Source organism: Homo sapiens, chromosome 15 (genome assembly GCF_000001405.40).
Source record: "Homo sapiens chromosome 15, GRCh38.p14 Primary Assembly".
In the NCBI taxonomy this organism is placed as follows: domain Eukaryota; kingdom Metazoa; phylum Chordata; class Mammalia; order Primates; family Hominidae; genus Homo; species Homo sapiens.
Window position 1 is genome coordinate 50,622,039 of NC_000015.10, and position 11,099 is coordinate 50,633,137.

At 35.9% G+C, this 11,099-nt stretch overlaps 1 protein-coding gene across 5 annotated transcripts in view; it reads right to left on the minus strand.

The window, feature by feature from the left end:
• The window catches only part of TRPM7 (transient receptor potential cation channel subfamily M member 7), a 129,640-nt gene that overhangs the window by 64,881 nt on the left and 53,660 nt on the right, over nucleotides 1–11,099 (minus strand). For all 5 annotated transcript variants that reach the window (NR_149154.2, NR_149152.2, NR_149153.2 and 2 more), the window contains exons 9-12: nucleotides 10,831–10,954; nucleotides 9,379–9,451; nucleotides 6,111–6,211; nucleotides 2,128–2,262 (exon numbers count right to left, since the gene is read on the minus strand). Coding sequence is in view for 2 of the 5 variants with exons in the window: in NM_001301212.2 (NP_001288141.1) it covers nucleotides 2,128–2,262; nucleotides 6,111–6,211; nucleotides 9,379–9,451; nucleotides 10,831–10,954 (433 nt within the window). In the remaining 3 variants the exon portion in view is untranslated. The remainder of the gene's footprint in view (nucleotides 1–2,127; nucleotides 2,263–6,110; nucleotides 6,212–9,378; nucleotides 9,452–10,830; nucleotides 10,955–11,099) is intronic.

An 11,099-nucleotide genomic window follows, 5' to 3' on the forward strand; every position in this document is an offset into this window, starting at 1 on the left:
AAAACAAAACAAAAAAAAAGTATCAGGCAGAAGGGTGCTAATTTAAGAAAAAAGAAATAAGAACAAATATTTATGTTAATATGGGATAAGTTTAGAAATTTTAAGTAAATATAACTGCTACTTTAATAAAAACAAATATTTTTTAAAACTCTCATTTTTACATTCTAAAATACCAACACACACAAACAAAACCTCTTTAGAAAAGCTCTTTGAAGTTCTCAATAATTTTAATGTAAAGGAACCCTGAAAATCAAAAAGTTTGAGAACTACTGCTTTATCATGTTGCAAGCCCTTAAATGTTTTAAAACTTCATCAATAATTGATGCTGAAAGTAACTACAGTATTATCTTAACACCTTTGAGTCATACAATTTAAAAAATTACTTGTCTTGCTAATGGGATCAATTTTTATTTTTATTATTTTACATTGCTTTATAGTTCAGGTATAAACCTTACTACAGCACAATGAATAATCCTTTTAATTTTTACATCTGTCCACTAGGGACAGTAAAATGCCAACAAAGTTCAACGCAAATGTGCTACACATACTAAAAGAAAATAATGGAAGCTGGGCCCAGTGGCTCACGCCTGTAATCCCAGAACTTTGGGAGGCTGAGGCAGGCGGATCATCTGAAGTCGGGAGTTCAAGACCAGCCTGGCCAACATGGCGAAACCCCATCTCCACTAAAAATACAAAAATTAGCTGGGCATGGTGGCATGCACCTGTAATCCCAGCTACTCAGGAGGCTGAGGCAGGAAAATTGCTTGAACCCGGAAGGCAGAGGTTGCAGTGAGCCCAGATCGTGCCACTGCGCTCCAGCTTGGGCAACAGAGTGAGATTCTTTCTCAAAAAAAGAAAAAAAAGGGAGAAAATGAGATATAATACCTACTTCAAAGAAATTTACAATCCAAAGGGAAAGACATAATAATTGTACTTAACTATGCCACCAAGCTTCATGGAACCAGTGGCATGGCATTTAAGCTAAGTCCTAAGCAATTAATAAAATTTCAATAAATGGGTTATTAGTTGGAAGCAAAACAGACCAGCACTGTGAAAATAGCAAATGCTTTTTTTTAAAAAAGTTTGCATTTTTGGCCGGGTGCAGTGGCTCACGCCTGTAATCCCAGTGCTTTGGGAGGCTGAGGCGGGCAGATCACGAGGTCAAGAGATCAAGACCATCCTGGCCAACATGGTGAAACCCCGACTCTACTAAAAACACAAAAATTAGCTGGGTGCAGTGGCACACGCCTGTAGTCCCAGCTACCTGGGAGGCTGAGGCAGGAGAATCACTTGAACCAGGGAGGCGGAGGCTGCAGTGAGCAAAGATGGCACCACTGCACTCCAGCCTGGTGACAGAGCGAGATTCTGTCAAAAAAAAAAAAAAGAAAGAAAAAAGTTTGTATTTTTAGTAAATAGTAGGTAGACATTTACCATCTTATTGCTGCCCCGCCCCCTCCCCGCCCCGCCCTGGATTTGGGGGGCAATAAAAAGGCCAAGTGAGAAAAGTAGATGGGGCAATATATGAAGATCTTTGAAAATCAAGTTAAGGATTTGGGTAGTAAACTCATATTCATAACACAGAAAACCACTAAGAAGGGTAGTATATCTTCAATGCTAATACAATAAAAATTTGGAATAAAATGTGAAAGTCTTTGTTACGAGAATAGTAAGTTTTCAGGAGTCCTTTACAAAAAAAATGAAAACAGTATGTAAGCTAAAAGGGGTATACCATGAGGTCAAACAATGAATGTAAAAAAAGAAAAAAAAAAAGAGAAAAAAGCAATGCATAATTCCTCCATTAGACAACGGAGTCAAAAGAAACATAATCACCCTATAATTAAGAAGTTGATCCTCTAGTTTTGATAAGGGGAGGGAAAGGGAAATACACAGGAAAGAGAGGTAGGCTTAATAGCCCTATGTGGTTATGGTGACAGGGAATGGGTTCTAAAAACAAGGAAAGGGTTTCAGACTGTAATACAACCAATCCATACTAAGACTGGCTATAATTTTTTCATATAACTAAGGAAGACATTAAGGGTTTTATCAATAGGAATGGCTATATTCAGGTAAAGTAACATTTCCCAAAAGATAAAATGTAGTCAATAAAGAATTTTAATGTAGACTTACAGTGTTGTAAAGTTCTTCCAGTCTCGGAATGGTAAGGAATTTATGCATGCTTACTCCATTTTCAATAAGAAGTTTTACAAATGCAACTCTATCCATTACAAGAGCATCAAGCATAGCTTGTTCCAAGGATCCAACCTAGGAGTATCAAATTTAATAAATACATATTTCACATATTCTAATTATACAAACACTTTTAAATGTTAAGTCCTTAGGATTTACATTTAATTTGTTCCCAACAGTTTTAGAACAAAATTAGAAAGATGCAACACAGTAAAAAGCTAATAAGACTTTAGGTGTTTAGGGAATAGATTAAAAGACCTCTCTAGAACAACGTTTCTTAAAGAATATTCCACAAACACTACTTCTGTAGGAGAATAAGTGTTACATGGGGGAAAAAACAGAATCCATCATCAATTAAATCTTGGGAAAGAATACCTTAAAGCAATGCTCTCAGTGTTTAGGGAAGGTTTTGTGGGAAGGATTATTTCAATAATTGAGTGCTGTTACTAACATTTAATGGGTAGGGTCAAGGGACATCAGAAATCATGCAATATGCTGGAGAATTCTACTCAGAAAGAAACTATCCCGCATCCCACACAACTTTTTATTATCCTGTTAGATGTTTATGACTGAAAAACCAGTAATTCTGCCTTACAAATGAACACAAAGTATTTCATCATAGTTTTTGTTCTACAGTGAATTTTCCAAAAATACAACCATCAGATAAGTCAGGCAAGATTGTACTTAGTCTTCAGAACTTTAAAAGAAATCATTCATCATTATGGAAAAGAAATCACTTGACAGCAATACAACTTATGTCCTTTGTGCTTAATATAACACATCTGTATCATTCAGCATTTGTAGCTGTCCTTTATATATTAAAGCCTATTTTATAAACTTCAACAGACTTGAAATCAAATATTGGTAAATTAGTAGGGACATGAAATATAGGTATTTCACTGAGTTTTATTAATAAAGGTTGTTTTAATATAGTCTGTATATTTTTTAATATTTTGTATATTTCTGTGTATTTTAAGTATTTTAGTACCACATTATTAAAAACATCTCTGTGGCAAAAATCAATACAAAACCACTGGTTTTTTTACCCATTATTTTTCAATCTTATTCTATCTTCAGAGGTTTAACACACAACTACACAACTTCTCTAGAGCAACTTGTATTACCATTTCTTTCTCCAATCTATCTTCGATTTACATCACCTAGCAAGGATATAGTCTTCATGATATTTTAAGTATATACTTTCTGTTTTTTTGAGACGGGGTCTCATTCTGTCACCCAGTGGCACAATCATAGCTCACTGCAGCCTCAAACTCAGGGGTTCAAGGGATGTTCCCACCTCAGCCTCCCACGTAGCTAAGAACTACAGGTGTGTACCCCTGACCCCTGTACCTGCCTTTTTTCTTTTTCTTTATTTTTAAAATAGGGACAGGTCTCAAACTCCTGGCCTCAAGTGATCTTCCTAACTCAGCCTCCCACAGTACTGGAATTAGAGGCATGAGCCACCACACCCAGTCCTATTTTAAGTATATACTGATGAAATGTATGCCTTTTACATGATGGAATTTAAAGATGAAAGGTATGTTTTCTGTGACATTTTTCAATACTCAGTTCTGTCACAACAAGGAAAATATTTTTCACTTGCTTAAAAATAAGGCCTGATCTCCAAGAAAATAATACTTATTAGTTTTCTCTACATTATTAGGCTGTAGTTTATCATGGCATCGTACTATTTTACTTAAGATTATTTCCTTCTTTCTCTTATCACATACAAATAATCCTAATGTTATTACTTACTCTAACAGTAATATTCTAACATTATTCTAGTGCCCACTTGGTCTTTCTTTGTCCTACACTTGCAAAGGGTGTTTATCTGTTCCCCAGGATATTTAAGTTACCAACAACATACTTGTATTAGTATGTATAACTGCAGCATTTACACTGATTCTTATTATAACTGCAGGCATCTGACTTATTATGTGTTTTATATTGCCACTCTTGAACATTTATATACTGAAATATTTATTTTTTATTATAAATCATTTTTTCTGTCTTATTACAATTAGGGCATTATACATATATTCTTAATTTATGTAATTACTTATGAAATTTCACTTTAGTAGAATAAAAGGGGATATAACAAAATATTGTTTTTAAAACAAGAACATTCTGTGTTTATAACCACTGCCCTAGAACAAAATCTTAATTTTCATATCTGAGGGGGAAAAAGGGACCATTTTAAAAAAAAGTGTCTGTTTTGTAAGGAGCATTTCCTCACACTCAATGCATATTGAACTCCTGGCAAGCAAGAAGAAAGAAGAAAAACAACTGTCCTGCAAATTCTAAGTTTAGCAAGAAGCACAAAATCAAATAGGTAACACTATGCAGAAGAAATTCATCAGACAAACCACATATACACAGAAGATAAATGCTTCATCCAAGCCTTTACATCTGAGAACAAAATCCAGTTAAATTATTCAAGGGAAAAATAAGGTTGGTTATAGTCATCACCACAGATGATTAACATTAATTTTTTTCCTCTGTAGTCCTGCAAGAGGAGAAGTGACTAAATAAACTCTTTTTTATTGCTATATAGGAAATACATTCCCATGGTTAAAAAAAAAAAAATCAAACACTACAAAATGGTATAAAATAAAACTTTCCTTCAGCCCCCATCTCTCCAAGATGAATCCCATGTTAACAGTTTTAGAAAGGTACTATTAACTACACAGTACATGTAGATATGCATGAATGTTTGTACATTCATAAGGAGAATTTGCCACAATTAAGATCATACTGTGCATACTTTTCTGCAATTTGCTGTTTATATTTACTATGTGGACAAAAAGGATCTAGTTTGTCCTCCGTAAAGGCTGGTAATACTTCAAGGTACAGATGAACAGTTAATCTGCCCAGCCTCTTATTAATTCGGACATGTAACAAAACTTTAAGTGATTACTACCTACCAAGCTGTCAATACAGTAGTAAACAAAACTGAAAAATATTCTTGCCCTCAGAAAGTTTACTTTCTAGGAGAAAGACAAACAATAAATAATAGCTACATTATATGGTTTGTCAGATGGTGACAAAAGTTAGAAAAAAATAGCAGGGAAGAATGCTGGTTTAGGGGGATGCTATTAAAATAGGGTAGACAGAGGAAGTCCAAAGAGGAGACATTTGGTTAGAGGCCAGAAAGATAGGAGGAATTAAGCCCACGTGGGTATGTAGGGAAAAATGTTAAGATAGAGAGACAGGCAAGTACAAAGCCTAGAGATAGGAGCATGCTTGATATGTTCAAAGAAGAGCAAGAACGTCAACAAGGTTAGATAAAAAAGAGCAAAGAGGATAGTAGTAGCATGTAAGGCTCTGGGTTATGCTCTGAATAAATGGAATGTGATTCATCTCCTGTCCATAAAAGGAGAGCAAGTATGAGAGTAGTGAAACCAAAAAGTATGCTACCGAAATAACACAAAAGAAGGATGACAGACTAGACCAGGATGATAAAATTAGGTATTTTGAAACTAGATCTGACAAGATTTACAGATGGAATTGGATTGGAATACATGAGAAAGAGAAAAGTAAAGGATAACACTAAAGAGTCTCATCTTAGAAACTAGGAAGAAGTTGTTCCCATTTAGTAGGATGAGGAAGACTAAAAAAGGAATAGGTCTAAACATCAGGGGGAATGCTAGAATGGACTCTCTGGTATACAGAGCATGAGTTTTAAAGCTTCTTTCAGTTCTAAGATTCTTAGAGATCTATATACTCTACAAAAAAATAAGGTTTTATCTAGAGGCATACATTAAATCCTAAACTGGATCGGAATGGTGTAGAAATACTTAGCTAAACTATTTTTGAACTATTGGCAGAAAGGTAAAATGTCAAGTCAGGTCACAGTTCCCGCAAATACTTTTTTATTACTTAGTGTAATTTAATTGTATTGTGTATGTAGATTATTTACATACCAGCCACTGCTGTCCATAAACAAATACATGATTTTTGGCAATGTCAACTCTATCCCATGCCAATGTAAGGATAAGCTGGTCAAATGCAGATGCATTAGTACCTAATCGAATAAAGAAAATAGTTGACAGGTTCAATTAATTTATCTCCATTAAAAGGTGAACACTTTTTTTTTTTTTAAGAGATGGGGTCTTGGTCTGTTGCTCAGGCTAAAGTGCAAAGGTGATCATGGCTCACTGCAGCCTTGAATTCCTGGGTTCAAGTGTACCTCCCGCCTTAGCCTCCAAGTAGCCGAGACTACAGATGAGCACCACCACACCCAGCTAATTTTTTAACTTTTTTGTAGAGACAGTCTCACTCTGCTGACCAGGCTGGTCTCAAACTCCCGGCCTCAAGTGATCCTGCCACTTCGGCCTCCCAGTGTGCTAGGATTACAAGTGTGAGCCACAGTGCCCAGCACGAACACTTATGACATCTCCCCACCATTCTTTAGTTAACTTACACAGCTGGTGTCAGCCACCATTCAGAAGTAGCCTGCCTCAGAGATAAGATTAGCCCCAGGGTTAAGAACTTTACCTTTCCAGCTATAAACGACATATTCCCATTCATTGCAAACATTTAGAAATGCAGAAAAATGAGAAGAAAACAAAGATGAACTGTTTCTATCACAGAGATAGCGCTATTAGGATTCTGAAAATAGCCTGCCAGGCACCTTTCTGTGCACATACAAGCTCATGCATATACTTTCCATTTTTTATTCAAAAATGGGTTCATACTACAAAAGTGTTCAGTAGCTTGCTTTATGTACCTTGATATCGTACCTTGGTTCTTCTTAAAATTATACATAAATCTCCCTTATATATACTTAGGTAAACCACAATTTATTTAACAAATACTTCAAATGGTAGATATTCAGGTTATTTTGAATTTTTTGCTGAGTATGTTTTCATGCACATGCTTGATTATTCAAATAGGATGATATTCTAGAAGTCAAATTGCTAGGTACAAGGATATATACTTTAAGGTTTTTGATATACTCCAAAATACTTCAGATTGCTTCTACCATCCACCATGGGAGGGGTATAACCATAACCATTTCTCCATGTGCCATGGAGAGGGGAGTTTCCTTCTTCTTCTCTTTTCTGAGACCGAGTCTCTCCCTGTTGTCCAGGCTGGAGTGCAGTGGCGTGGTCTTGGTTCACTGCAACCTCTGCCTCCTGGGCTCAACTGATCCTCCCACCTCAGCCTCTCAAGTAGCTGGGACCACTGGTGTATGGCACCACACCAGGCTAAGTTTTGTATTTTTTGTAGAGATAGGGTTTTGCCAAATTGCCCAGACTGATCTCAAACTCCTGGGCTCAAGCAATCTGCTTGCCTCAGCCTCCCAAAATTTATTACTGTAACATTGGCCATCCTTCCATATTTTCTCTAAGCATTTGGATTCCTCTACTAATTATCTATTACATAAGTTCTGACCCATTTTTCTAAGAGGTAGTCATCTTTTTCTTATTAATTTTTAACAGCTCTTTTTGATCCCTCTACTTTAACATTTCTATTCCTTAGTTTCCTCATCTATAAAATGAGTAAAGCCATAGGAAATCTGACTTGTAGGAATAAAATGAGATAAATAATGTAAACCACTTGAACACAGTGGTTAATACACAGAAAAGTACATGGTAAATAATTCATGAATATGGTACTCTCTTTTTAACCTTTTTTTTTTTTTTTTTTTTTGGAGACAGTTTCACTCTGTCACCCAGGCTGTAGTGCAGTGGTGTGATCCTGGCTCACTGCAACCTCTGCCTTCCGGGTTCAAGCAATTCTTGTGCCTCAGCCTCCAGAGTAGCCGGGACTACAGGCATCCACCACCACCCCCAGCTAATTTTTGTATTGTTAGTAGAGACGAGGTTTCGCCATGTTGGCCAGGCTGATCTTGAACTCCTGACCTCAAGTGATCCACCCGCCTTAGCCTCCCAAATTGCTGGGATTACAGGTGTGAGCCAGCGCACGCAGCCTTACTTTTTATTTTTATGCACTCCCATTTATTAATTTTTTTTCCTTTTTGGTTTCTAGGTTTCCTATCACTTGTGATCTCTTGATACCATGATTCCAGATGATATAAATATATTTTATCACAGTATTTTAAAAATGCTTGATGTATTGGCAATTTATTATGGTCTAATATGCAAGAAAATTCTTGTAAATAAAAGGACAGTATCCTCTTAATGTGCTGGGCTCCTGGCACATCACTCTACACTAACTTTCAGGTAGACAGATGGGATACCGTCATAGTTTCTAATTTCTGAGAAGATTTTTCGCTATAATGTTGTTATATCTGTTGGATGTCTTTGGGGAGACAATAAGAGGATCAGTGTGTGTGTGCTTCAATCCCTTAGTCCTAAAAGATACCACTAGTTTTCAAATTTTCCCTTCATAATGAAGATGACATGTTTTAAAATCCTATCTTTATATTCTATCAACTAATGCCTTATAACCTTTAAACACTTATTTTTCAGCTGATTAAGAAAGTGACACATTTTTATTTGGAGACAGGGTCTTGCTGTCACCCAGGCTGGAGTGTAGCAGTGTGATAATGGCTCACTGTAACCTCAAACCCTGGGCTCAAGCAATCCTCCCGCCTCAGCCTCCTGAACAGCTGGGACTACAGAGTGCACACCACCATGCCCAGCTAATTTTTCTTTGTTGTGAGATAGGGTCTTGCTCTGTTGCCCAAACTGGAATACAGCGGCATGATCACAGCTCACTGCAGCCTCAACTTTCCAGGATCAGGTGATTCCACCTCAGCCTCCCAAGTAGCTGGGACTACAGGTAAATGCCACCATGCCCAGGTAATTTTTAAACTTTTTGTAGAGATGGGTCTATCTTGTCCAGGCTGGTCTTGAACTCCTGGCCTCAAGTGATCCTCCTGCTTTGGCTCCCAAAGTGTTGGGATTACAGGTGTGAGCCACCATGCCTGGCCCAGGATGTTAGACGTTCTTAATAGGACTATTAAATAGGTTTGGTGGCATAAACCTTGCTAAAAACTTTTATTTTTTAAATTCTACAAGATTAAATTAAAAGTTACCTTGCCGCCAAGGAAACCAACATTGTGTCTTTCACAAAGAAAAATGACTGAAAATTCACTTTGCAAGCATTTAGCCATGGTAAAAGGTTTTATATTTTATATACATACACATATACACACATACACACACATATACATACATAAAATAAAAGGTCTTACAAATAAAAAAGTTCTTAGAGGCTTACCTTTTAGCAGTGCAGTAAGTATTGCTACATCTATATCTTGATGTTCATCTGACCCAATATGGAAAACAGTGATCTATTTAAAGATAAATTTATAACATTATGCCTTTATATTTTTAAAACAAAGGCATCATAAAACTCAGTAATTTCAAACTATATGGGGGGCAAAATATATATGTATGTATCTAGGAATCTATGTATTATGTATATATAAACATACATACACATAATATATTTATGTATATAGTTAGTAACTTTATTTCAACCAAAAAACCAAAAAATTTTAAAAACTTTATCATTTACTAAATAAAATGGCAAATATACTAAAAATATTTGGTTTCATATTACATTCATATTTTGACCTATCTTATGTCCCTTACTAGAGTAAGAAATTTAGGGGCTGAGGCTATAGATTCCTTATCAGGGTAAATAAATCCTACAGGTCCTTCCACAGAATGAACATTTACATGTTCACATAATGTATATATTCTTGAAAGATAAATGTTTGTTTTGGTCAATATTTTTATTGCAAATATCTTTAAATCACTTGAAACATAGCACCATTTCAGAAATTGTAATTTAATAACATTTTTCATAAAGTGAAAGATGGCCAGGCCCATGGCTCATGCTTGTAATCCCAGCAATTTGGGAGGCCAAGGTGGGCGGATCACGTGAGGTTAGGAGTTCGAGACCAGCCTGGCCAACACAGTGAAACACCGCCTCTAGTCAAAATACAAAAATTAGCCAGGCATGGTGGCGTATGCCTGTAGTCGGGAGGCTGAGGTGGGAGAATCGCTTGCACCCGGGAGACAGAGGTTGCAGTGAGCTGAGATTGCACCACGGCACTCCAGCTTGAGCAATGGAGCGAGACTCTGTCTCCAAAAAAAAAAATAAATAAAAATAAAGAAAAGAACGTGAAACATTATTATACAAAATTTTTGGCCAACTTTATTTCATAGTTTACAAAAACTTGCAATGAAAAAGACAGCAAATCAAATCATGTTATGTATTTATAGGCTTGCTAAAAATTTTATCTCTGAAAACTTATGCCCACATTTACATGATTGAAACAAAGCAGCACTGATCTTTAATTTAATAGGCTTAAGCACATTAAAAATTTTTTTCCAAACATTTTATTAGAGAAACCATTAACAACTCTTTATAGTTCTTCCTTGGTACTGAACATTATCTGTTGAGACCTAGTTACTTTTCCTAAAACTTTTCCTAAAACAGAAGCACAAATACAGTCTCAATACCATATAAAAAACTACAGGCCTCCTTCTATGATACCTCTCAACTTGAACAGACCAATAAATGACATATTTTTATGGTTAATAAAGATTTCAAAGTTTAAAATCCAAATAAAAACAAAAGTATTTCACCAGTTTAGAATGTGTTTTGAATGAAAGAAAAATGGCCTATCAGCTTTTTAAATTTCTGCTGAAATCTACTTACAAGCTCCTTTCTTTTCATGCACTCCATCAGTGTTTGAAATAAATGAAGTGCTTCATTCTGGCCAAAGTTAAATGTTTTTTTGATAGTGGAAATAATATCGGGCTCTGCTGCATCAGGAAGATTCCTGGAATAAAAGGAAACATAATTCACTGATTTCATCTTCCATTATTTGTAGGATCAATATGAAGTACAGGTAGATCCATGTAAGACCTTTGAAAATAATGGATTAATATTACATACTTCACCTTGGGTGGGATTATTTCTTCCTA